This window comes from Homo sapiens, chromosome 2 (assembly GCF_000001405.40).
Source record: "Homo sapiens chromosome 2, GRCh38.p14 Primary Assembly".
In the NCBI taxonomy this organism is placed as follows: Eukaryota; Metazoa; Chordata; class Mammalia; order Primates; family Hominidae; genus Homo; species Homo sapiens.
In genome coordinates this window covers 167,854,647-167,882,416 of record NC_000002.12, presented here as the reverse complement: position 1 = coordinate 167,882,416, position 27,770 = coordinate 167,854,647, and the positions used below count along the sequence as shown (strand labels likewise).

At 39.2% G+C, this 27,770-nt stretch overlaps 1 protein-coding gene and 1 long non-coding RNA gene across 6 annotated transcripts in view, besides 1 other annotated feature; one reads left to right on the top strand and one right to left on the bottom strand.

Annotated features, from left to right (window-relative positions):
* The window catches only part of B3GALT1-AS1 (B3GALT1 antisense RNA 1), a 126,371-nt gene that overhangs the window by 58,728 nt on the left and 39,873 nt on the right, over window positions 1-27,770 (top strand). Inside the window, exons 3-4 of the long non-coding RNA NR_131227.1 lie at window positions 12,437-12,677; window positions 19,567-19,702. This is a non-coding gene — a long non-coding RNA (B3GALT1 antisense RNA 1). The remainder of the gene's footprint in view (window positions 1-12,436; window positions 12,678-19,566; window positions 19,703-27,770) is intronic.
* B3GALT1 (beta-1,3-galactosyltransferase 1) overlaps window positions 8,372-27,770 on the bottom strand; it is a 581,045-nt gene continuing 561,646 nt past the window's right edge. For all 5 annotated transcript variants that reach the window (XM_011512085.3, NM_020981.4, XM_047446159.1 and 2 more), the window contains one exon: window positions 8,372-13,606. In XM_011512085.3, the coding sequence (XP_011510387.1) occupies window positions 12,397-13,377 (981 nt within the window). In that variant the 5' untranslated portion in view covers window positions 13,378-13,606 and the 3' untranslated portion in view covers window positions 8,372-12,396. The remainder of the gene's footprint in view (window positions 13,607-27,770) is intronic.
* Window positions 20,341-20,869: an enhancer, noted in NCBI's record as "NANOG hESC enhancer chr2:168718058-168718586 (GRCh37/hg19 assembly coordinates)". NCBI's record gives its function as "activates a minimal SCP1, AML or CMV promoter by ChIP-STARR-seq in naive H9 embryonic stem cells {active_cell/tissue: H9 hESC(naive)}" and the evidence as "EXISTENCE:reporter gene assay evidence [ECO:0000049][PMID:30033119]".

Here is a 27,770-nt window from a genome sequence, read left to right as displayed (position 1 = left end):
TAGAGGTTGACTCCGGATAGGTGACGGAGATAGATCTGCTCACCTGAAGTTTTCAACAAATTCTATTGCTCATTGTGCTATATGCTTATCTTAATTTCACATAAGTGCATTTTTATTTTAAATCACGAAACCTGTCTAGTGTTCTGCATAATCTTCCATTTGTTTGAAGAAACAAAAACATCACCACGTAATGTAATTGAACCTATTGGTTCTTGGTTGGGGCTAGATCTCTAACACAATTTACTTTGATGAAAACGGGTTTAGTAATTGGAGACCCAAATATATAGGACTAAATATGTGTTACTATTTTTCTTTTTTGGTTAACAGGCACTAATTTAACCTGTATGCTAATCTATTAGGTTTATACATAAAATAAAAAAAAATGTTGATTCCATCAACCAAGTTATAAAAAATTCTGGCTTGGTAAACTTGGGATCACAAGTCCTATTAGCATAAAGCATCATCTGAGAAGACATTCAGGGATTAGGAATTCTAGGAAGCAATTTCTGATTTTGAATATTATAATAAAAAACTTCAGCTTTGAAAAGAATATTGAACAATCACCTCCTAAATATATAATAACACTTGGTGCTAACACTGTGTCTGGTCCCTGGTCAACCTTCAAGGAATATTTATGAGTGAACAGCTGAATGAATGAATGAATGAATGGATATGCCTTCATAGATTTCCATCAACATTCTGCCATGTACCCAAGGGTAATAAAAGCAAAATGACAAGTTTCTCAATTGAAATTGATTTTATAGTTTATCAGAAACCTAATGTGAATCTCATTATTTTGACTTTAATACTAAGTTTAAAGCTAGACTCTAAAGTGAGATTGCTTTAGTTTGTAACAGCCCTCTAATGTTGTAGAGAGAAAGGTCTCCAACAATCTCCTTCTTCACTTAAATTAGGGATTTCGCTTATTATTATGCCCTTGGAAATCCGAACATGTATAACCTCTGGGATCTAATCTGTAGGACATCTGCAAAATTTCATGCAAAAGAATGTACTGTTTCTGGAATGGGAATCAGAACCAACTGAGTATAATAATAAGGAAAATGTAAGAAAAGCAAAACAGGCCACAAAAAACTAAGCTGATATATGAGAAAATATGGGTTGGTGTCTGCCTCTGGGAAACACCTCCCCCTACCTTTTTTTGTACTGTAACTGAAAGATAATTTGATGGAAAGTGGATTGAAATTTATGATAGATAATTTTTACAATGGCAAAAGCAGAGAAACATTGGTCAACATAATCTGAAAACAGGTGTGGCTCTTTCCCCATCTTCCATCTCCCCCTAAATTAGTTACTTCTGCTCTCTTACTTCCCTGGTCTTCCTGCTTCTTGCTCATTGTCTCCTTAAATTCTCATTGTCTCTACTGCTGATTCTTCTCCTTTGTTACTTTGGAGTCATTTTCTCTTTGTTCGTTTTGTCTTGGAAATAAACTGCATGCAAAGCTGTTGTAAAGTGTGTTTTGTGTTCTTGTTGAACACTTATTTTATTTGTGGCGACATCTGATCTAGGTTATGTCTAGATTCCAAAGCAGAGGTACAGCCCTCCCTTTGCGGATCCTGTAGTCAACCCAATTCATGGTAATTGAAAGTTTTCCTGGATGAGAGCTCTGCCTGAAAAATCAGGTTCACTGTGTTGTGCCATTTGATATTAGGTAAACCTGATGCCTGTTCTGAACCTATTTATCTGACTCTTGCCTAGGTTTTGACCCTGTTGTCTTAGCTATTTGCACATTCTTTGAGCTGCATATCTGGACTCGGGATTACTTATTTTTTTTCTGCTGACTTTTCAGATTTGTCTGTTACTTCAAGCACTGACTGCTCATTTGACCTTGGATGTATTGCTGATTCTAACCTTTAAAACCAGGGAGGGTTTGCCCCTACTTGTTTCTGAATTGCAAATAAAATTTAGAGCAATATGACACAATGGAAAATAAAAAGACTGGACTCCAGTCAAAATACCTGGGGTTTGAATAGTATCTTTCCAGTTATTGATTTTTTACATTGAAAAAGTCTCTTGATTTCTCTGACTTCTGGATTTTTCAACCCCAAAATGGTGACAATAATAAATGCTGGATTCCTTGTTTGGGAGGGACTACTTAGTTTCTCATTAATGCCAAAAAAACAAAAACAAAAAACAAAACAAAAAAACTTCCTTTCTCTCATCCTAATGATGTTCCTCTGAAAAGGTAAGATTATAAACTTTTTTTTTTTTTTGAGATGGAGTCTTGCTCTGTCACCCAGGCTGGAGTGCAGTGGCAGAATCTTGGCTCACTGAAACCTCTGCCTCCTGGTTTCAAGTGATTCTCCTTCCTCAGACTCATGAGTAGCTAGGATCACAAGTGTGCACCACCACACGTGGCTAATTTTGTATTTTTAGTAGAGACGTGGTTTCACTACGTTGTCCAGGCTGGTCTCGAACTCTTGACCTCAAGTGATCCACCTGCCTTGGCCTCCAAAAGTGCTGGGATTATAGATGTGAGCCACCGCGCCTGGCTATAAATCTGAATGGTCATATCCTATGACAATAATTTGGCATCATTTATGCATATGTGGGGTTGCTGTTTCTTGCAGATGACATACTTGCGTGGCTCTCTGCTGCTTTCCTTCTGTTCCTGTTGTCTCCATTGTCTTGTACCAGAAGCACCGTAGCCTGGCTCTACATACTTCTCTCTGTCTCCTTTCTGTGCTATATAGTATGCCCACATACTATAAATGGTGGTTGGTGGGAAGATAAAGCCATCAGGTCCGACTTTGACCTGGGGCTACATCATAAGCTCCAACTTGGTTTTAACATAGAATCCTATATTGGGTTACTGGGTACTGAATCAGCAAAATAATAGTGTGGTATTTTGCTTCCCATTGTTTTTGTTACTTTGATGTATTGCTTCCTCCAGGACCTCACCCTTCTCCCATAAGGTCTTAGAGAAAGCTACATACAAGAAATAAAAATAGTGAGTTTCTAACCTAAAATTGTACTACAGACTCAAACCTCACTTTAATCCATAATCCCTTCCAACAAGTTTTTATGAATATTTAAAGAGGTAATATAGGTAAAAGTCTCTGGTATGGTAAGCATCTCTGGTATAGATGCTTATTGAATACTAGTAACCCTAGGCTGGGTGCGGTGGCTCACGCCTATAATCCCAGCACTTTGGGAGGTCTAGGAGGGTGGATCACTTGAGCCGAGGATTAGAGACCAGCCTGGGCATCATGGTGAAACCCCTTCTCTCTCTAAAAAAAAATACAAAATAATTAGCTGGGCGTGGTGGCTCTAGCCTGCAGTCCCAGCTACTCAGAAGGCTGAGGTGGGAGAATCACCTGAGCCTGGGAGGTCAAGATCATGTCACTGCACTCCAGCCTGGGTGTCGGAGACCCTCTCTCAAAACAAAACCAAAACCAAACAAACCAAAAAACTAGTAACCCTGTCTAGAATCTAGCCTTGAATTCCAGAGCCCTGTTACTCAAAACACAGTCTATGCACCAGTGGCATCAGCATTGCCTGGAAGCTCACAAGAAAGAACTGTGGGTTAGACTCCAGAACTACAATTCTGCATTTTACCAAGATTCTCAGGTAATTACTTGGCATGTGCCAGTCTGAGAAGCATTGCTATAGCGTCTGTGTGTCCCTCATCCTGTCCTTCCTGCTCCAGTATACTATTTTGCTTCCATATTTATGCTGCCTATGGCTCCAACTCCTGCTAGGACGGAGAGGCATTTTGTTGTAAATGACATGCTTTCCAAGTTAACTCAGATGATTCTATTGATAAAGTTTGAAGAGAAGCTTGTAGTGGTGAAATTGTCTTTTTCTAAAGAAAATTTGGACTAGCATATGTCGAAGAAACCAACAGTAAGTCAGAAAGCACAAACAGATACAGAGGGAGAGCTCATCAGAGTGTGGTTTATGACAGGTGTGGAGCCACAGCCTTGAGTGTAAACAGGGCCTGCCTTTTTAAGGAGCTAGTTAGTGATGGACACCTCTCCAGAGGATCCTTTGCTTCCAAGAAGGAAGAAGGCATAATTGAACTTATAGATCGTTCTCTCTATAGAAATGTGAGCTCTGAAGCAGAGAAACTCTGTTAAAGTTCCTAGTGCGCTGGTCTAAATTTCGAGTGAGGTGGTAGATTTTTGACTGGCATCTTTCTTATTAATATTTATTAGACTTGGATATTATTGAATGAATGGGGGTTTATTTTTAAATTCCTGAATCTTTTATCTGTATTTATGTGTTGCTTAACTATTTTCTTAAGATTTCTGTTTTCTTGTTTTATTCTTTTCGATTTTTTTGCCTTGTTGGATGCTAAGGTGTCATGATGGGTTATTTGAAGCAACTTTTTCTATACATTAAACCTTATAGATGATGATTAAATAACATGTAAATCTCAAGTAAAATAAAAATTTGGAAAGAGACCAGTGATTGCCAGAGGCTGGGGGAGGGGGCTGATTACAATGGGTCATGAGAAAATTTGGGAAAGTACTAGAACTGTTGTATTTCTTATTATGGTGGTTGTTACCTGAATGTACACATTTGTCAAAACTCATAGAACTGCACATTTAAAAAGAGAATTTTAAAGTATATAAATTATAACTCAGTAAAAACAGGGCAAAAGTTCCAAACTGAATAACATTAAAATAGCTACACTGAATTCTGCAGGAACTGGGGCCTGGGGCAGTGTGGAGGTGGGGCGTGGTATGTGTCCTTATTTTTGAGAAGCAAAATGCTATGTTGGTGATGAACATGGCCTCTAGAGCCAGAGGGCCTGAATTCACCCTGTAAGTTACAGAAGCCTCTGTTGCCTCAATTCCCTAATCTGCCAATTGGAGATAAGAGCAGCATCTACCTCATGAGGCTATTGTTAGGATTCAGCAACAACAATGACAAAACAGAAGAATGGGCACTGAAAATTTAAGGTTTTGCAATGGGAGAAATTCTCTGATGCTCTCTTCCCCCTCACCTTATGCTTGGTGAGGTCATCTTCACTTCTGCTGAAAAATAGTCTTCATTACAAACCCCCACATGTAACTCGGCCCAGCCTGCTGTATCAGGCAGCCACTGCTGAGTAAACACTCTAGAATAAACCTAGAGAGAGAATAAATTACCTCTTGTGCCATTTTCCCTCCAGGTGAGGCCTGAGGTCATTGCAACAGGCCTAACAAATACTTGACATAATGTACTAAACTGATAGATTCTAGAAGGTAAACTAAATGGAAAAATTTTCTTGAGCACTAGGCACCTCTGGCTGAAGAGAGTGTGGAGCCAGCGTTATTATCGATGTGGTTGAATCAATAACACTTTTTCGTTCATTTCTCTTTCATTTCACAAAAATGCCCATTTTAACCAGCAAGGAGGTAAGGAGATCTTATCGAGGGCGATTTTTCATGCTCCCATGGATTATATTGTGGGGCACATTGCTCTTTTAAATATCCCCATTTCTGTTTTTGTTCATTTTTGTTTTTTCTCTTAAAAATGTATTCAGTTTTCTCCCAGCAGTGTGAATTCATCTGGAAATCTATGACAATCAATTAAGTAAATGAGAAAATAGAATACTTGCAATTATGATAATCAAGCTATATGAAACCCACCCTTTTAGGTCTAATATGCACACATCTTTAAGCAATATATTAATTAAGATGTGGGTAATTGTGACAATTAGAATCAAGCTTTTATAATTTTAAAAAATTACTCAGAGAAAACAAGGAAATATTTCAAAAATATATGCAGCTGTTGGTTTTTAATGCAATTCATTATCATGACTACATCGTCATTTTCCTGGCTGCATGGGAAGACAGTTCCAATGCTGATGTGATTTTCATCCGTAACTGGAAACGTTTTGTGTATAGCACCTTTTTCAGATGTTTTCCTGTTTCTCTAGGTCAGAGGTTGACAAACTTTTCCTATAAAGTGCAATAAATATTTTAAGCTTTTCAGGTCAAGAAGCAAACTTGAAAATATATGATAGTACTGGCCGGGCGCAGCGGCTCACGCCTGTAATCCCAGCACTTTGGGAGGCCGAGGCGGGTGGATCACGAGGTCAGGAGATCAAGACCATCCTGGCTAACACAGTGAAACCCCGTCTGTACTAAAAATACAAAAAATTAGCCGGGCGTGGTGGCGGGGCGTGTAGTCCCAGCTACTCGGGAGGCTGAGGCAGGAGAATGGCGTGAACCCGGGAGGCGGAGCTTGCAGTGAGCCGAGATCGCGCCACTGCACTCCAGCCTGGGTAACACAGCGAGACTCCATCTCAAAAAAAAAAAAAAAAAAAAAAAATAAATATATATATATATATGTATATATATATATATACATATATATATATACGTATATATATATATACATATATATATATACGTATATATATATATATACGTATATATATATATACGTATATATATATATACGTATATATATATATACGTGTATATATATATATATATATATAAAATAGTACATTACATAACAAAAGAAAAAATAAATTTCCTGTTTTTGTATTGATGGAATTCAAAATAAAATAATAACTGAGTACAATTTTGTTTATTGCTCATACACATCTACTAATGAGAGGAATGGCATTCTTCGTGTTGGACTAACGTCCTGCTTAGTTGGAGTTCCATGTTAGCATCTGCTGTCATTAAGTCATTGCAGCTGTTCATGGGAACCACTCCTAGCTTATGGACAGCAGGCCAGATGGAGTTCACAGACTGTAGTTTGCCAATCTCTGCTCTGGGTCAGTGTTCTCAGCTCCAGCGGGCATTGGAGTTACCTAGAGGGCTCATTAAAATGGACTGCTGAGCCACACGGTGAAGTTTCTGGAGGGACTTGAGAATTTGCCTTTCTAGCAAGTTCCCTGATGAGTCTAGTGCTCTTGGTCTGGAGACTATACTTTTATTTATTTATTTGTTTATTTATTTATTTATTTTTGAGACAGAGTTGTGGTCTGTCACCCAGGCTGGAGTGCGGTGGTGCAATCTTGGCTCACTGCAACCCCCCTCTCCCGGTTCAAGCGATTTTCCTGCCTCAGCCTCCCAAGTAGCTGGGATTACAGGAGTGTACCACCCTGCCCGGCTAAGTTTTGTACATTTAGTAGAGACGGGGTTTCACCAAGTTGGCCAGGCTGGTTTTGAACGCCTAGCCCTCAGGTGACCCACCACCTCGGTCTCCCATAGTGGTGGGATTACAGGCATGAGCCATCGTGCCCAACCTGGAGACTATATTTTTAGATCACTGCTCTTGATGTTGGTCCTTTGAAAAAGTTATGTGGAATACAAATCTGTATATTTTATGATTTTGTTGTTTATTCACATAGTTCCACTCACCTGATAAACTTTACCTTTTTGAACTCCAAGGTATATGGGGAGTAAATCAAAAGTTAAATTTCTATTAAGAAGTGAATATCTGGAATACTATGCAGCCATAAAAAGGAATGAGATCATGTCCTTTGCCGGGACATAAATGAAGTTGGCAGCCATTATCCTCAGCAAACTAACACAGGAACAGAAAACCAAACACCACGTGTTCTCATAAGTGGGAGCTGAATGAGGAGAACACATGGGCACATGGCGGGGAACGACATACTGCAGCCTGTCTGGAGGGGTTCAGGGGAGGGTGCATCAGGAAGAATAGCTAATGGAGGCTGGGCTTAATACCTAGGTGATGGGATGATCTGTGCAGCACACTACCATGGCACACGATTTCCTTTATAATAAACCTGCACATCCTGCACATGTACCCCTGAACTTAAAATAAGTTGAAGAAAACAAAGAAAAAAGTGAGTATCTGTTTAGCTAGATCAGGATTGATAATAAAATGAACTTTTGTCTCTTAAATAGCTCTCAGTCTCTTGCTTACACAATCAGGGATCAGCAATCAACATCTACTTGGCTGCTGTGAAGGATGTCTGAATAAATCTTTTCTGATCCAATTAAACTTCTAAAGTAACATGCAGTATTCCAAAGGATACATGCAGATGAAACAGGAGAATGACATTTTTGCCTTAGATTTAACATGTCCTAATTTGCCAAACACATTATTAATAGAATGCCCCCCTGAGTTGGAGTTTGTTGGCATGTTTAACCCATAGACTTTAATACAGAGGCTGGTTAAAATGATTCCTTGAGGCTGCCAAGGGGCAAGTGAATCCCTGTTTCCTAAATCCCAGAGTAGCCACTGGTCTACTTACTAGATGGAATAGTCTCCGTGTTGACTGTCGCACTGGGCTCTTGGGGATGAGCTCTGAATGGCATGAACTATTACCTACATTGAGATTGTGGAAAAGGTTAATGGTAAACGGCAGGGCATCAGCTTTTAACAACCACGTCTCACCAAAGAGATTCCTTCTAAAAGAAGAGAAGTGACACATTTGTTCTCCTTCTGTTTATTTGTCCCAATGGTTTAAAAAAATCAGCTTTATGGAACCATAATCTTCCTCATGACAGATGGGCCTGTACATAAGCATTGCGCTTTCAGTCAACAGTTTACATTTCAAGAGGAAGGTGAAGAAAGTGTAATGATATCTTCAGTGTCTGTCATTTTTAGTTTTATAACATTGATACAAAAAAATAGTATTCTGATTAGCAGCTTGATTGGCAACCCATGTAACCCTAAATAGTACTACAAACCTGGAGAGTGCACTTTTACAGACAATTACTTTTGGCGAAACAGTATGTACAATTTTGACAAATAAATACATAAATACAATCATTCATATATGACGTTATACCTAAATGTCAATTATCATCAACAAGCGTTGTTCTAGTAAATTACTTCTTTCATTCACAAGTTACTTTGTTGTTTATAAAAACGATTTTCACCTTTACAGAAGAAATGACATAATCAATTCTCCCACTAAACCCACATATTAGGAAAGGTAAAAAATGAATCCCAGATGCTTTAGGTAAATATTCCATTGTCTTTTGATAGAAGAGATTTGATCGAAAAACTTCTTCCTTGGCTCCTCTGTAAATAGTTTATTTTCCCCATATCGTGTCACGCAAAGGGGTTTTATTCTTCTGAATTGAATCCAAATTAAAAGTGATCTTCGCTTTGTTGATTCTGGTTATTTAAAAATACAATATTACATATTGAAATGGACACTTGTTCCAATATAAGAAGACACCAAGCCACCGAAACTAGCCACCAAAGAGAAACGTTTTTCCAAAAAGTAAATTAAAAAAAGGAACTTTAAGAACATAGACACTGATACTGTTATTATCCAGTGCATAATGGAAAAAAAGAGTTTTTGTAAAAATTGTCTGAGAGACTCTTGGTAGAATACTGTCTAAAACATTGCATATTTTATGTCAGGGAAATGATAAGAATGGCTCAACAGTAATTGAAACAATATTTTGGCCAGTGTCATGTCATAAAATTAACAAAAGTCGAAAGTTAGAGCTTTTTCTTGATCACTTAAACATTTTTTGAACATTCAAAAAACGAAGGGCAAACATGCTTAAGGCTATGAAACACTGGACAAATGGCCTTGCTTCACCAAAAGCTCCATGCAGAAGAAAAGGTTACACAGCAAGCAGATTCTAGCTATACATACAGTTGGGGAGAAGAAAAAATGCCTTTAAAATATATACATGTGGTCTTTGATGAATATTTACATGTTTGTCACATGGGCATTACCTAGCATAAAAAAGTAAGGAAATAGTTCTTTAAGACATACGATTCTCTGATTTTTGCTCCTTTTAAAGATCAGGGCTGTATCATAATGTATGCACACACATATAAAACGATTCATAGGTGTACATATATGATGTTTATAATGTGTAATTTCTTGACACCAGAGGTGGTTTGACTGAGCATGGGGTAGATGCAAGGCAATAGTATGAGACAGAGGCTTGATTCAGCTGCACAACTCGAAGGTAAACCAAGTAAGAAGTCGTGAGACTTTCCCAGTGATTGGAACTCACAGCAGTTGAGGCTGCAGGTTGGAGGGTGGTTCACCTTGTGCTGATCCATCTCTCCCCAGGTTACCTAATTGCTATTGTCTAATCAAAACCAGCAGTCCTGCTGACCATAAGATGAAGATGTGTTAAGGGATGGGAAGTCTTGTCTCATATCAGGTCCTTTCGGGTGGGGGATGAGAGATCGTGTTTTGCAGAAACAAGCCATGACTTCCACTTATTCATTGTGTCTATCTGTTTGCTATCAACTCCTACGGGGGGCTCCAGGGGTCAGGTTAAAAAATAAGTAAATAGGGCCGGGCGCGGTGGCTCACGCTTGTAATCCCAGCACTTTGGGAGGCCGAGGCGGGCGGATCACGAGGTCAGGAGATCGAGACCATCCTGGCTAACACGGTGAAACCCCGTCTCTACTAAAAATACAAAAAAATTAGCCGGGCGTGATGGCGGGCGCCTGTAGTCCCAGCTACTCGGGAGGCTGAGGCAGGAGAATGGCGTGAACCCGGGAGGCGGAGCTTGCAGTGAGCCGAGATTGTGCCACTGCACTCCCGCCTGGGCCACAGAGCTAGACTCCGTCTCAAAAAAAAAAAAAAAAAAAAAAAAAAAAGTAAATAAATAAAAAAGGTACACTCTTTCAGCTGTGGGGCTTTCTTTGAGAACAAACAGGTGTTTTCTAATAAATGGTAGAAGATGTGCAATGTGCAGGTTTGCTGACTGCCTATTCTGCTGCTTCTGAAAGAGGTGAACTAGCTTTACCTGCGCTCAAATTTCTTAGAGAGAATTCAGATTCAGTGGTTCCTGAGATCTAAGTTGTCGTGATGCATTTTGCAAAGTATATGCTTCATTTACTGTAATATACCCCAACCAGAGGTTCCTTCCCAAAGAAAGGCAGCTGCCTCTACTTTCAGCACCTTGGGATATCAAGGCAACACACTGACCTAGTCACTTATTCATTGAAACCAGAAGAAATCTCAGAGAAATGGAAGCCTTCCCAAACACCTAAATTACAGCCAAGGAAAAGTCAAGCCTTGGTAGAATTAGGTGCAGTGATAGTTCACAGCTGATCTTTATTTCAGCAGATTTTATATTAAGATGATATTACTGCTACTGATGACCATCATTGTAATTATGCAATTATTTTAGCATTTAGCATAATACATGATACATTGCATTACGTAGCACCTTTTAAGCTAAGGATCTCAAAATACTTAGCAAATGCAATTTGCTCTCACAGCACCTGTGAGGTAGGTGTTTTTTACAGCCATTTTTATAAATGAACACATTGAAGCACAAGATTACGATGCCTACTCATATGGCCCAATAAGTATGGTGGCATCAACGGGACCCGAACCTGGCCTTCCCCATCCTTCCTCAATCACAGAGCCCCCAGAATACCTCATAACAGCATTGCTGCTGAACATGCTCTGGTGTTTTCAGATGTTAGCAAGTAGGGCCAAGTCTTTCAATAATATTGACACCCTTAAAGATTTTCTCATGTGCTTTGCAAATGTCTGTGTGTGGGGGCATCTTATACTATTGCTAAGCTTATGTTAATTATAATGCATACTTAAATTTGTATTTTCTCAATGTGATTTATTGTTCTCTGGCCTCCAACCAACTTATTTTCTACATAGAGACATATGCCTGCCAGATCCAAAAACTGTGAAATGCACTTAGCGACACTGTCTGGAAGGAAGCAGGTGAGATTATATTTGGCAAAGTTTCCTTGGAGGCACCATTTAATGTTTGTTCTGAAAGAGCAAAACAAAAAAGAAAGAAAAAAAAAGAAAAAAAAAATCTTTTGTTTACTTTGTTAAGTAGCATTTTATACACATTCCACCTGCTGACCAGATTTAATCCTTGGATGAGCAAGCAGAGTTGTCTTCCAAACACATAGAATGTTTGATTCTCAAATTTAAACTCCCATCTATTTAACTGCAGCCACTCTGCAGGTACCAAGTTCATTTCTTGGTGGAACTGCAAAGACTGTACACATTACATGGGAATATATGTAAAAATATAATGTAACAACACACACGATATTAATAATCACATCCAGTGTGTCTTCCTGACTGTGCATCCTTTCTGAATTGCTTTTGAAAATGGTTTCTATTTGTGTATTAATTTTTGCAGGGATGATATGACACATTACTGTGAGTTTCAGTTTCCCAGAACCAAATTTTTATCTCAGATGCACGGTACGTCAATCCTAAGAGTTGTTTGGAAGTCACTTTTTGAGATAAATAGCAATGCTCTGGGACTGAGAATGAAATCTGGCCCTTCTAACTCATTTATTGTTTCTATGACCAGAGTCTAACATTCATAAATTGGTAATCCAAGAAAAGAACTTATAGCAGGAAGCAAAAACTTTACAAAACCCCTTCACCAGTTCATTTCCCCCGACACCTGGAAAATACCAACACCTTAGGTCCCATTTCTTAAAAAAAGAAAAGAAACATATTTACATTGGTAAAAATCCTAACATCTGAGATGTTTCTTGCTTGACATGTCATTCCAGATTCTGTGCATTTCTTCTGGAGAGATCTGATGCACAGTGATAACTCGGCGATACCTACACAAACTGTAGGCCATTTTCCAGTGATTGAAGCCACTGTTCTGGAAAGGATGTATGCCCAGCTTTCGAAGACACAGTCCCACATATACGTCTTCAAGGTGAAGCAGCCTTGTGTGGAGTGAGGTCTTGTAAATGAGTTCAGCTACATCGGCTGAAAAGATGTAGCCAGTCCCCGAACAGAAAGGTGGGTAGTTACTGTCTGGGTACAAATCCCTGGGCATATACCACTTACTGCGGACATCCCGAATCGGTCCTCCATTAATGACATAGCCAGTAAAATACCTTCTTCGTGGCTTGGTGGAGGGTTTCAGTAATTTATAAATAAGATTGTCCATGTTTACAAAAATGTCGCTGTCTGTTTTCATGACATACTTGGCTTTTGAACAAAAAGTGGCCACCCATCTCATCCCCATTAATGTTTTGAGGGTAAGGTTATGGTAGGAGTCAATAAAGTCCTCCACGATGATATCATGGAAGATTTGGCTCTCTTGCTCCACCATCTGATTGAGAACAGGATCAGCATTCTTGCCCAGGAGGAACAGGGTGGCTATCTTGATCCCCTTAAAGTTGTTCTCATCCCCCCACGTCTCTCTGATTGCCTGACGGGCATCAAATTCCTTGTGAGTGGTGCTGATGAGGATAACAAGAAAAGGAATGTTTTTCTCACATTTATTGGGCTCGTTGATAAGAAATTCAAAAGAATGTGGGTTGATAGGTCGAGTTCTTATGTTGCCAAAGGTGAAGTTTTTCCTGGCAACTGTTAGGTGGCTGAATGGTTTGGAGCCAGTGTAAGAAGAAGTAGGGCGAGTTATACTCAAGTACCAGAGAGCGCTGGCCCAGCACACAACTGTCAAAACATACAAACAGGAGACCTTTGAAGCCATTGTCTTGAGAACACGTCTATTCCAAATATTGAAGAATACGCCTCCTTGGCACTAGTTTGTTTTCATCTTCCAAAGGCAGCATATTACTAATAAATCTTCAAGTTTGATAGAGAAGCGTGAGGTGGAGATTGTCCATGGGCCTCAGTGGCTGTCTGTCACCTCTGCGCTCATTCTACTTTCTTCCAAATCTGATGGAGGGTTCCATGACTCATAAATCTTCCTCTTAACTCTGCAAAATCAATAAAGTACAGTTGTCACTTAGATTTATGTCATCGTTCTACATACTGAAATAAACATAACAAGGGTATAAGAATTGCCCTCAAGGATTAAAATACACATGATCATTCATTTCCATCAGTACCAAAAACTTCCTGTCATAACCATCTCCCCTTTTCCTCTCTCCTTGATAGAAGCTGTGTATGTATATTAATACCCAATTAAGAAATACATAGATTATAAATTCTAGATGAAGGTGAAGTAAGCGGAACATTAGTCATTTTTAAATAAGAATTCCCCCTCTTCACATGACGTATTTTTTTTTTTTTTTTTTAACAGTGACATACTTTCTGGCACTAAAGTCTTCTTTCAAGATAGGAAATCTCACCCATGGCCTCATATCTCTTTTCCAGTTTCCGAGTCTGAGTTTTTGTTTGCTTGATTCTGGTGAAGGAATTGATTCTCAACATTTCCTTGCTTTCTCTAACTCTCTATTTGAATATGTGTTTATCACACTGGAAAATCTCTGCTAATGCTGTGTCTCTCTTGGTTCAGACTTAGAAGTAATTCCCAACTGTTCCTCCTTTTCTCCTTACTTTGGCTTCCACAACTCTTAGCTCTAATTCTAATTTTCTATGAAACTTCATGCAGAGGATATGCTGACCTCTCAAGCATGGAACCCATCACCCAAGTGACCTTTCAGACAGCTGGCAGCATTTATTTTGGAGTTGATCTAAACGGTGTCACTTTTTATGGTTTTCAACCATTCACCCATGTGTTCCCTTGATGAAATTATACTGGCCCTTTTAATTTTTTTTTACCTAGTTACATTTGCCTATAAACCCAATATGAGTATAATGAGAGGGACAATTGAGTTTGGGGGCCACAGATCCAATGAAGATGTGATGGAGACTTCAGCTGGTGTTCAAATTTAATTTTCCTCTGGAACTCTCATTCTTTCTAGAACTTCTACTGCTTTCTAGAACTTTTAAAACTTCGCGCCAGTTCCTATATGCCTGGTTATGAAGTCCATTCATGTAAAAAATTGTTTCTTCCTGTCTCGTTAGGGCAGAATGTGGTAGTCCTGGAAGGCAGAGATAGTAGAGAATAGGTATCAATTTTAACAAAGTCTGCTTCAAAGAAAACCATGTGCTTACATGTACAGACTGTGTAGAAATAATTTAATTGGGAATATAGATTGAAAATCATGCTTCTAAGCACAATAGTCATAATGAAATAAAAATACACGATGTGAACAGCAGAGACAATATATATCTTCTTGTCTAAGCCAAGAGCTGACTGTGAATATATGATCCATATGAGACCAGCAATAACTCAGTGTGGTTACCGTTCTAACTAAATGAATATTAGAATGGCTTCAAGCAGCTTGACTCTAGGCATAGTTAGGCCTTCATCCAACCCATAATAAGTACTTTCTAAATACAGGCTCCTGTATCCTGTCCTCCCGGGAGAAATTTCTGTTCTAAGGTGCACCAAAGCTGATAAAAAGAAGGATGTGATGTGCAGCAAGTTTTGAAACTTTAAACAGTAAGCAAAAGGAAGTGAGAGAAACTAGGAATAGAAAAAAAGAGCTTCTCGGCCGGGCGCGGTGGCTCACGCCTGTAATCCCAGCACTTTGGGAGGCCAAGGGGGGCGGATCACGAGGTCAGGAGATCGAGACCATCCTGGCTAAAACGGTGAAACCCCGTCTCTACTAAAAATACAAAAAATTAGCCAGGCGTAGTGGCGGGTGCCTGTAGTCCCAGCTACTCGGGAGGCTGAGGCAGGAGAATGGCCTGAATCCAGGAGGTGGAGCTTGCAGTGAGCTGAGATTGCGCCACTGCACTCCAGCCTGGGCGACAAAGTGAGACTCCGTCTCAAAAAAAAAGAGCTTCTCAACTTGGGATATACAGACATGGACTCCATTTCAATTACAAAAGGTTGTAAGTGAGTCCCAAGATGGTACTAGAAAGCAAACTTTCTCTGCCATTGTCCTAGGCTATGTATCTGATTCTTAGTCTACTTTTGTCATTATATTGCTCTGTCCTCTTGCATACTTTCCTACTCCATTGTGAGCCACCTATTAGTAAGATGTTAAGGGCCTCCCCAAAAGCCTCTCCTGGAAGAGGCTCCTGTCAGGTAATATTTGGGAGCCAGTAATCAGGCTGTTAATGGAGGATTTTTCCACTTTACATTTTGATCTCCTTTTTATTGTTCCTTCCTCATGTCTACAGAGTTCATTTCACAAGTTATTATCCTCTATCTCTATGGTTAAGCCTTCATTCAACTCTTGAATTTATTCATTCATTTGTTAATCCATGCATCCATCAATCAACCAATTAATCAAATGTTTATTGAGTGCCGGTTGTATGTGAAGTATTGGACAAACAGAAACAGAATCCATACTCCTCCCTTAAGAAACTGCTAGACTAGGAGGAAAGGTTTCAAGTAAATGGATAAAATGGTGGAATAAAAATTTACATTAGGAGGCTACTGGAATACACAGGGGAAGAATGCTGGGCAGAATGTGGGAGAACAAGGTTAAGTCCTGCAGACTGTCCACAGTACCACTCCAGAGGGTGCCATTCACACTAGCCGTAACGTGAATCTCACTCCTCCACCCATGCCAGAGTCAAACAATGAGGGAGTCCTGGGGAAGATGCTATGGCAAGTTCACTAAAGGGGAACCAAGTTGAATCTTTAAGGATGGCTAGAAGTTATCTGGATGAGGGTCAGGCATTCTGGGCAAAGGAAACAGCATATGCAAGGGCATAAAATGAGAGAGAGGATGGTGTGTACCAGGACTAGTTGAGTAAAAGAAGAGGATAGGATGATGGGGAGGAGGATGGGGGAGGGTGGGTTGAGAGATTAGCAGGGGTCAGATGGTGAGTGGTTCTCAGACACCGTCCTGAGCTGAGTAGCTAGTTACCCATCTGTGAAATCTAAAGGGTGTGAAGGAGGATCTTATCTTCCCCAAATCCTGTTCCATTTATTTATTTATTTATTTTATTTTTTATTTATTTATTGTTTTTGAGACGGAGTCTCGCTCTGTTGCCTAGGCTGGAGTGCAGTGGTGCAATCTCGGCTCACTGCAAACTCCGCCTCCCGGGTTCACGCCATTCTCCTGCCTCAGCCTCCCAAGTAGCTGGGACTACAGGCACCCGCCACCACGCCTGGCTAATTTTTTGTATTTTTTAGTAGAGACGGGGTTTCACGGTGTTAGCCAGGAGGGTCTCGATCTCCTGATCTTGTGATCTGCCCGCCTCGGCCTCCCAGAATGCTGGGATTACAGGCGTGAGCCACTGTGCCCGGCCCCATTTATTTCAATAGCAGTTCACTCATTCATATTAAGGATTTCTCCTCTTGCATAGTTCTATTTCTTAGAAGAGTGAGAATTTGTTTTTGTTTTGTTTTGTTTTTTGAGATGGAGTCTCACTCTGTCACCCAGGCTGGAGTGCGACAATGCGATCTTGGCTCACTGAAACCTCCTGGGTTCAAGCGATTCTCCTGCCTCAGCTTCCTGAGTAGCTGGGATTACAGGCGTGCACCACCATGTCTGGCTAATTTTTGTATTTTTAGTAGAGATGGGGTTTCACCATGTTGGCCAGGCTGGTCTCCAACTCCTGACCTCAGGTGATCTTCCTGCCTCGGCCTCCTGAAGTGCTGGGATTACAGGCTGTGAGCCACCTTGCCCAGCTGAGAGTTTGTTTTATCTGATACTTTTCCGCGTGATTTTCTGGGGGAAGGGACTGCATAAACATAGGTAGCTGGGAGGTTTAGAAGGAGCTAAAAAAGGAGAAATATAACAGAAACAGAGGAGAACATGAAAAAAGTTTATAAACACCTTTTTTTTTTTAACAGAAGAATGAGCATTCTTTTCTGGACAGGTAATAAATATAATACTTCTTATCATTATTACTGTAGCTCTCATTTTAAAAGGCCTGTAGGAAGCACTGTGCTGTGTGGTGCATTCCATGCCATTCTATTCTGTTTATATTTTAGAGTTTCATTCCTGACAGTGTTATAAGAGAGGTACAATTTTCTCCATTTGACAGATGAGAGAATGGAAACTCAGAAACATTCAGTAGCTTGCTCAAGATCACACAGCTAGTGAGTGACTACATAAATAGCCACTTCCAAGCTTCCTAAGGCCTGTTGAGACATAGGCAATATCTTGGATGGGAAAGCCCAGGGTGTCAGGGAGCATCTCAGGCTGCTATTCGCCCAGTGATATATGCATTTATTTTTTATTAACAAGTTAATACAGGGTCTCACTCTGTCACCTAGGCTGGAGTGCAGTGGCACAATCACAGCTCACTGTAGCCTTGACCTCCTGGGCTCAAGTGATTTTCCTGCCTCAGCTGCCCCAGTAGCTGAGATTACAGGCACATGCCACCATGCCTGGCTAATTTTTTAAAAATTTCTATTTTTAGTAGAGACAAGGTCTCACTGTGTTGGCCAGGCTGGTCTCAACCTTGGCTGGGCTCAAGTGATCCTCTGGCCTTGGCCATCCAAAGTGCTGGGATTACAGGTGTGAGCCACCACTCCTGTCCTCATGCATTTATTTTCTTAGATGTGGTTCCATTGCTTGGATTTTTTCTAGTTCATTCTAGTTTCCTACACACTGTGCTATATCAATTCTGTAGGGATTCTTGATAATCAAAAAGTGCAAAAAGGGATGATTTGCAAAGAGCACATTAAAGCTTGAAGATGCTGAGAGCAGGGTGGGGAAGCTGAAACTGTTAAAGAAGTTTAGAAACACATTGCAGGTTCTTTTCTATGAAGACCTGAAACATACACACACACACACACACACACACACACACACACACATACATACATGCATGCACACAGAATCACTATTTCTACTGACCTTTTTTCCTGTTGTCTTCAGACGTGAGAACAAAAGTAGGCACAGTATTACATCTTAGACAATACTGAATGCAAGTTAGAATCTAGTAAATCCTCTGTTGAAAAAACAGAGAATTTGAAGTCTGAAAAGAAACTTGCTGAAAACCTAAAGAGTGGCTAAGGACAATAAGAACTCATAGCAAGGGGTATTAAAAAATAGCCTTTTTGCTTATAACCAAACAGATTTCTCAGGTGGCAAAACAGTACAAAAATATGCCCATGGGCCAGAAATAGTAATGTAACTAAAGACAAGAAAGAGTAGCATGATGCACGGAACTCTAAAGATTCATTTCATGTAAGTTGGATAAAGTAGTTGGTAATGGGTCAGTATGTCTGTGGTTACTCCTTGAGTAATTCTGACTTGTGGTGTGGATTTTCTGTGTCTCAGTAGCCTTAAACATAAAGAGAGGGCACAAATAAATCTGTTTTATCTCCAAATACATCACAGGTATTAACAACCATTGCCAAATCATCTGAGCTTCCGGGGAAAGGGTTCTGTCCAGGCAGATGGTATTATGATACAAAGTGCAGGATCTATTGTGAGTGAGGGGATTATGTCAGTTCATCAGTTTATGGTTTTAGATCCTGAGGACATATATTGATCCATTCTTCTAAAGAAATAGTATTGCTGTTAGTGTTTTGGTTTGTTCATCCAGCTTCGTGAGTACAGGTTTTTCTGCTTAAGAAATCTGTCTCCTTCCTGGAAAACTCAAAGCCAAAAGCCCACTGAAAAGAAAAAAAAAAGAGAGAATACCACAAAAGCAGAAACCTCTGGAAAGTTCTTTCAGTTTTACAAGATTAAAAAAAAATCTTTTTTAACAGACCAGTTAGTGTATCAGTAAAATAGAAAGTTGCACGTGTAACACTTGTCATTTTCCTAGCAGCTTCACCACAGCCACAGACACTGATGACACATTAACTTGTCATCCATTAAATACAAATCCCTCTAAATAGACACATTCAACTGGAACACTCGAAAGACTTTTTCCCCAGGGGCCTTACTGTATTTCAGATTACCTCATTCACAGAACTCTTCAGTAACTATCCACCTTCATCTTTCAGGAAGTTAGTGGGGCAGAATTTTCAATTTAAGAAGCACGTATTTCTCCTAGAAACTGCATGGTAGATTGTCTGTTATTCTGAATAATTTATTTCAAGAAACCCACAGAATTGCTGAAATTCTTTTGTACAGCCAGAGGTAAGGCCTAGGAGCGGGTGGGTAGTGTGTCTCTGGTGACCTGTGCATTGTTTGGGGTGCCAGCTTCATGTCCATCTTCATGGTTCAGGCAGTGTGATGGTTAATTTCATGTGTTAACTTCACTGGGCTAAGGGGTGCCCAGATAGCTGCTGAAACATTACTTCTGGGTGTGTCTGTGAGGGTGTTTCTGGCAAAGATTAGCATTTGAATCGGTAGGCTGAGTAAGGAAGACTGCCCTCACCAATGTAAATGAGCATCACCTAATTCACTGAAGGCCTAAATAGGACGAAAACTTAGAGGAAGGGCTAATTTGCTCTCTCTGCTTAAGCTGTGACATGCATCTCCTCCTGAGCTCAGACACCAGTGCTTCTGGTTCTCGAGCCTTTGGGCTCAGACTGCGATTTACAACATTGGCTCCCCCGATTCTCAAGTTTTTGGGTTTGGACTGAAACTATTCCACTGGTTTCTTCTTGGGCCTTCAGCCTGCAGAGAGCAGATCATGGGACTTCTCAGCCCTCATAATCTCATGAGACAATGCCTCATAATAAATCTCTTTCTCTATATCTAAATATATCCTATTGGTTCTGTTTCTCTGGAGAATCCTAACTATAGGCAAATACAAGTCAACACTGATTTCTTATGTCTTGGTTGCCAGTTACACCGAATTGGCTTGGCAATCATTTGAGCTTCCCTTCACCATGGGCAAGGTTGCAGGAGCCTCACCAAGCAGCTTGCTTCCATCCTCTGGTGTCTCAAGGAATGTCTCCAGTTTCTTATTTCCTTTGCATTTCTAAATCTACTTCATTTGTTCATGAAGGATGCACTGAATACTACTAGGTGCCAGGCAGTGAGCTGGTAAGACATCTGAAAAATGTTGAAAACAAATCTACAAATGAAGTAGATTTGGAAATGCAAAGGGAATGCAAATGTCTCCTCTCTCTTACTTTCTAGGAGACAGAGGCAGAAGATAAACAAATGCAAAAACAGTTTCAGGTAGTGGTAAGGGGGATAATCGGATAGAGACTAAACAAAGGTGGGATGGGGGAGAAGGGCTACCTTAAATTAGTCACTCTCTAAGGAGGTGACATCTGAGCTGAGAACAGAATGACTTGCTATCTCTGGTTCAGTCTTTGAATCTTTTACTAAGTTTTTGTCTCCTTTGCTTGGCTTTTTTTGATTCATGCTATATTAGGAGAGCATCTTTGTGGTTTTTGACTTCTACCCCTACTGTTTTTTGGCTCTGTTATCTTTGTGTTTCCCAGCTGTGGCCATTCTGCCCACTCCTGCAAATTCCTCCGGCCTCCAGAGCCACAGGTTATCCACTGTATTAGTTTGCTATAGCTACAGTAACAAAGCACAAATGCTTCTCTATTTATGATTGGGTTACATCCCAATAAACACATTGTAGATTGAAAATATCCTAAGTTGAAAATTCATTTAATACACTTAACCTACCAAACATCATAGATTAGCCAAGCCTAACTTAAATGTGCTGCCTGGTTGGACAAAATTATCTAACACAAAGCCTATTTCTTAATAACGTGTTGAACAACTCACATAATTTATTGAATGCTGTACATTACTTGAAATCATGATGGTTTGGCATCATGGTAATGTCAAAAAATCCTAAGTCAGCTCATCAAAGTGGAGAACTGTCTGTACTTTGCTCCGCAAGACTTCACTCCTTTACATTTTAATTTTCCTGATTTGAGCAAGTAATTTCTTGGGTTTCGGTAAACCAACTTTCAAAGGTTGAAAAATTTGTAATTAGCATTCAAAGAAGAATGAAGCACGAGTGTGAAAAGGGATGCAAAATTTGTTTTATTTTTAGATGAAAAAAAAAAAAAGAAAAGCCAGTTGAGATTCTTTTCCTAAGACCAGGTGAAGAATATATCATAGTTTAAGGCAATTCCTTGCTCCTGCCAACTTGTTTTCTCTGATCCCTTTAAAAACTCAGATTAGTTGAGAAACTCAAGCTGGGATTGAGGCACATTTCCCAAACCAGCAGTTCCTGATGTACTGGCTTGGTTTTGGAGAATACAAACAATTCTCCTGTCTCACTGCAAAATACTACTACATCTTATACTATCTCAAACTAGTACTCAGAATAACTTCTGTTAAAATTGACTCTGAATAACTTCTGTTATTAATTGACTCTGAATAACTTCTGTTAAATATTTACAGATCACATATGGCACACACAAGTGGCTTTAACATAGAGATTTGCATAGTAGCTTTAAAAACATGGTGAAGAAAGATAAAGCAGTTGAAAAAAAATAAACCCAACATTAACCAGCTAAAAGGGAGGCAAGACAGGGAAAGAAAGAGAGCACACGAGAGAGACAGAGAGAAAGGGTTAACTATTTGTGCTATGAAATGGTCTTGAAATGAGTGAGGAGCTGGCTGTGCAGTACATCATGATATTGAAAAGGGGAAAAGAGATCCTTTCTGAAAAATGTTTTGATCTCAAATGACTTTCCTTGGAGATGGCATATGAGTGAAATCAAAAAGTATCTTCATTCTGTGGGGAAAAACAGAAACTCAAATTGCAACAGAACTAATTGATAAACAAGCCCCAAGGGCCAGAGATTCTAGTTGGCTGCATTAATTTGGCATATGGTTATTTTGATACCCAACTCCTCCCCTTTTTCTCACTCTTATAATTATGCTGTAAATAAGCACAGGAGAGGAAGACATAAAACACTATTAGCACTAGATAATGGTCCTTGAAGGAAGAATTTCATAAACCATTATGCTATCCAGTTTGCTAACTTATTATCTCTCCAAATCACAGAGGGCTGGCTCTCCTAGCCTTTAAGTCAGCCTCCTTGGCTATTTAAGGAAATCTACCCATAGATGTTGAAATCCCTGAACGCTCATAGGAATAAGTGTTCTGACTCCTCTGCCTTAGATAGATAAAGAGCTAATTTGTTCCTTTTAAAAATTTAATTATGAATCTTTTCTAAGAGACCCCATAATTGAACTTACCCAACTTACTCATTTGCAATGAGGCAGTGGTGTAAAGCAAGAGGTAATATTCATCATGACTTGGCAGTTGAAATCATTTCCCTCCCAAATCTGGAAGAAATGATTTGAACCTTTCTCTTTTTTAGTTTAATATACCTTGACATTTATTGAAAAGGTCTTTATAAATCCCTGCCTTGGGAAGAATGGGGCCGACCTGAAAGAGGAGTGGTTGGGATGAGGATGTCTTTGTGTGTGTGGGCCTAGGGCTCTTGCTATTCTGAAAGCCACACTTTATTTCACTGAGGAGAAAGTATACTTCAAATTAGAAGGGAAGATTATAGCTTTCTTCAAATCAATGTGTTGCCCTAGTTCTAGAATTCAGAGAATTTTTTAACATCACTACAATCCTCTCAGGGAAAAATGAAAATGAGGATATTTCATCATTTTAAATAAATGCTTGGCTTCCTTTACAGTGATGGATATTGTGTCTTGACTGCCTTATATAAGACACATTTTTAAAGCTAGGCAGAGCAATCACTTATTTAATCATTAGAGCCTAGAAGCCCGGCAATGTGATTGGGCTTCGGGTGGGGCTTCTCCACTGGGAAAGGAAATGCCAGTATTTTTTATTAGAAATGTGAAAGAGGATGAGAGGAAAGACATCCTACTAATATAAACAGCAGCTGGGAGAATTTAAAAATGATGAACTATGTGATAACAAAAAGAGTATTCATTCGGCCCATTATTTTGGGGGAGGCTGATATTAATGGATATTCTTAGAAACCAGAAAGCTGTTAGTGTATTCACTATCTAAAATTTACAAAGTCTAGGGAGGTATTTCTCAGCTCACCACAGAGAGGTAGTATTATTTTAGATCATATTTCAAAGAATGATATTGGTACTATGCAGCGACTGATAATACATGGAACAGACTTGGCGATTTTTCTTTTGTTTTCAATTGTTCCTTTATATAATATTGATTTACTGGAATCCATAATAGCCAAACATAATTTTATGTAGCTGCTGTCAGTGGAAATTATTTTGTAGGCAGTCAGCCTTATGGCATTGGAAGACCCAGATTCAAGTTCTAGACTTGGAGTCATCAGCTCTGAAGCCTGTGCAACTCTATGCCTTTGTTTCCTCATCTATAAAATGAGAATGATAATGTCTGGCCAGACTTTGCCAGTAAGGATCACTGTAAAGATCAAATGAGATAACGTATTTGAAAATACTATATAAGTCAAATGGTGCTACATGAACATAAAGTATTATCATTATTAATGTAAACATGACAAATAAAGACAAATTCAGAGAGGATTGCCTATAAGATGTTTCATAAGGAACGATCAGTCAATGCATCTTGACTAATTGGTGCAAAAGCAGTTTTTTTTTTTTTTTTTTTTACTTCGCTCTTGTTCAAAAGAAAAACAAAAACTTGGCACCTCCAGTTGACCGTTTTCATAAGAAGCTTTCAATTTTACTTGACAGAGCCTATATTAAAAAGTCTTGCACTGTTGTAAAAAAAATGGGGAGGATATATACAAGTTAGAGGAAATGTCATGACTATTGTCATTACTAGCACTAATGTGACATAGAATTTTGCTTTTCTCAAATATAACTTTAGGATATTAAAAATCTACCAGATTTAAATAGCCTTCCGAATAATATTTACATAGCCATAATTAACATTCTGTGTATACGAAAACAGCCTGAAATGGCTATACCATGATTATTTTACAGAGGTTTAAGACAAAGCCACTATAAAATATAACTTTGTGATTTTGTGATTTTTTTTCTTCATAGGCTTGTCAAGGTTGTAATGAAACTTAATCCGAAGTGTAATCTTGCCAAGAGAATCATCATTTAATCACTTAATGGAGGGACTTAGCAATTTTCAGCGCTAGAATCAGATTTATAAATTGTTCTAGAAATGCACCCAAAGGAATGCCTGGGTGACAATGACAGATAGTTTTATTTGGCAGAGTAGCTTTTTAACCAAGCCTTTTTGTTTCTGAAATCTGTGGTTATGTGTACAATTTTCCTAAATTAGTACTTACTGGCCAATCAGATGAAAATGCTGTGTTTTGTTTTGTTCCCATGCTCAGTCATTTATGCTGGCTCTCCACAGTCCTCCCCGCTGCCAATCTCCAGCATTGCTTGGATTCACAAGCTACTCACCAAACATTTGCTCAGCTTCACTCTCACTGGATACCATTTTATGCTTGAGATTTCTATTTCTAGGCATTCTCCTCTTTTACAATTTCCTTTTGGTTCATGATTCTTACTTCCTCTATGGCTAGAGACTCAGCCTGCCAGTTTTCATCCTACTGGTGCCTTGAACTCTTTGCCACAGTCTACTCACATTGCTCTTGAAACTCTTTCAGGCTATGCTGGACTCTTCTCATTTAGACTCTGTGAAGAGGGATTACAATCTTAATCTCTCCCAAGGCCTTTGCTTTTCAAAGCAAAGGAACTCCTGTTCCTTTATCACTTCTCTATGCTCTCCTCCCCACTGCATCAATTCCCATTACTGTCCATCACCTGTATTTTTACTCTTGAGCCTTAAAATATTCTGGGGTTAAGGTCTCATAATCAAAGAAACATTAAGGTAAATTGGTCTCCTGGACAAAGCATAGGGTTGTCAGTCAACAGAAAACTGGTGGTAGCTCTGTTATAAAACCATAAAAACTCTTTGGAAATGTTTTCCCCTTAAAAATATCTCTTAGTTTCAAAATCACATTAATCCTCACGGATCAGAAATCCTGTCACTAGTACATGCTTTCTCAGCCCCCTTAACAAAGGACTCTTTTATATTCTGTGTTTTTAGTCTCTCCATTTCCATTGACTCCTGTTTTGTCTCTAGAAGTGCTTGTCTTCCTTTGCTTAGAAAAATAACAAGAACAGCAAAACCTTCTCTTGACCCTGGCATCACTGCCAATTACTATCATGCTTTCCTCCTAGGTTTCATAGCTAGGGGCCTTAACTGGGCACTCTCTCCTGCTTTTTCCCATTTCCTTACCTATTTAACTCCTACAATAGATCAACATGGCACTTGATGCTATTCTCAGTAAAGCATACAACTTTCCCAGTCCAAGCTTTCCTGGTGTCAGCTGCTTTGGACACACTGAGTCACTCTCTTCTTTCACTCCCGCTTTGGATTCCTTCTGACTGCACCCTCATGTCCTTCTGCTCACTTTGCTGGTGGTCCTATGTGTTTTCTTCTCTTCACACCTCCTCAGCCTGCTTTTTGCAGCCTCCAAACCAGTGCTTATCCCTCCTTCCAGTCTCATCAGCATGGAGTACTCATGCTCTTGAGAACAAGACTTCTGCTATTGACTCTCCAAATATGTTCACCAGCAGGTGGATCAGAGACCAATGCACTTTATAGCCCTGCATATTTTCAGCACTGCTTTCTCTCTTAAATGGTATATATGTAAGTTTATACCAAAGGAAGGAGAAGTTTGCCTTCCTTCTGCTTTTTGCTCTTGTTTTTCATAAATAGAAAACATATTTTAGAACATGAGTGTTTTGAGTTAAATTTCTTGGGATACTTGTATCATAGACAAACTTAGTAGGCATATAGGACAGGTTTTGCTAATGACAACAAAAGGTCAAAAAACAATTCTGTAGTTTTTGTTCATCGACATAGATGTGTTTTATTTTTCTTTATATTTTAGCTGTCAGCTTGTTTCTGAAATTGTTAAAATGTTGTAAAGTCTCATTCAAAGGATGTTTTTACTTGGCCCTTTAGAGATGACTTTCCATGAAATTCTGAGGCTATTTTTTTTGTTGTTGTTTAAAGACTATTAAAGAAATGACATTTTAATAGTCATTTCTTTAGTAAGTTCTGAACAGATGGTATAGGTGAGTTTTCTAAGAAATTCCAAGCTATTTGCTTTCCCTTTCCCTTAGTACATAATTTGAAAGTCCATCAGACAGTTTGAAAGTTTGGTAGAAGTAGAATTTAGGGAAGGTCTCTAAGTATGACTGAAAACAGGTCAGTCGTGAAAGGAAATAGTCCTTGTTTTAAACACATGAAACCATACAAAATATCAGAAATCAAAGGAAAAATATCTCACTTGCCATTCTCTATATCTGTACCCTCAATAGGTAACCATTTTCATAGCTGGATGGATTACTACAGCACATATTTTTAAAGATTTGTTAAATCAATGTTGTGACATTTAGTAATTACTTCTTTTAAAGTAATGTTAAACGGTAACTTCTATTTAATCAATACCTTCTGTATGTGACAGTCTATACAGTGTTTTACAAATAATGTATACAATCTCACTAATAATTACTTCTACTAAGAAGTAGGCATGGTTCCCATTTTACAGAAGAGAAAGCTGAGGCCTGGAGAGATTAAGCAACTTGCCCCAGCTTTACATAGCTAATGAGTGATTAAACCTGGATTTGAATACAAGTCTATCAAACTGTAATATGTAGGTCTATACACCATATTCTGCATCTCACTTTTTACATGGTCGTCAGAATCAAATTTATTTTCTTATTTCCTTTAATTATCCATGACTTAATGTGAGAGGTAGGGAAAATGTAGTCCAGCTGCTATGCATTTCACCTTGGCTTAAGGGTTCGTCTAGCTCTGAGCTTCTCAGTTTCACAGTGTAGGTGTGCTAGTATTTTTAAATGAAAACTGCACAGAGGATGAAGAATTCATCCCCATTCACTGGGCTACTTCCTTAACAATATTAAGGTATCTACAAAGCCAAATCAGTAATGACACTTGCAGTTCATGCAATCCTAGGTTAAAAGGCAACAGTTGCTCTTAAGGTATATTTCAATTAAGCTCTGAGAGACAGGTGAGCTGCTCATCTCTGCTACAATGAGGCACTCATTTTATCTTGGGAAGAACTTAAGAGATGGCATCAGAAGGCTCTGCCCCTTACTAGCGATGTGACTATGGTCAATAAATTCTCCACTCATGGCCGATTTGGCAGTTTAGCCAACTCCTCTCCTGTTCCAATTCCCCCTTAGCTTTTCTTCCTGGAAATGGGCCAGCTGTAAAAGAAACTGACATCCATAATGAAGTCTCCCAGGCTCCTTTACAACTAGGATAAAAGTAAATGACCTAGTTTCC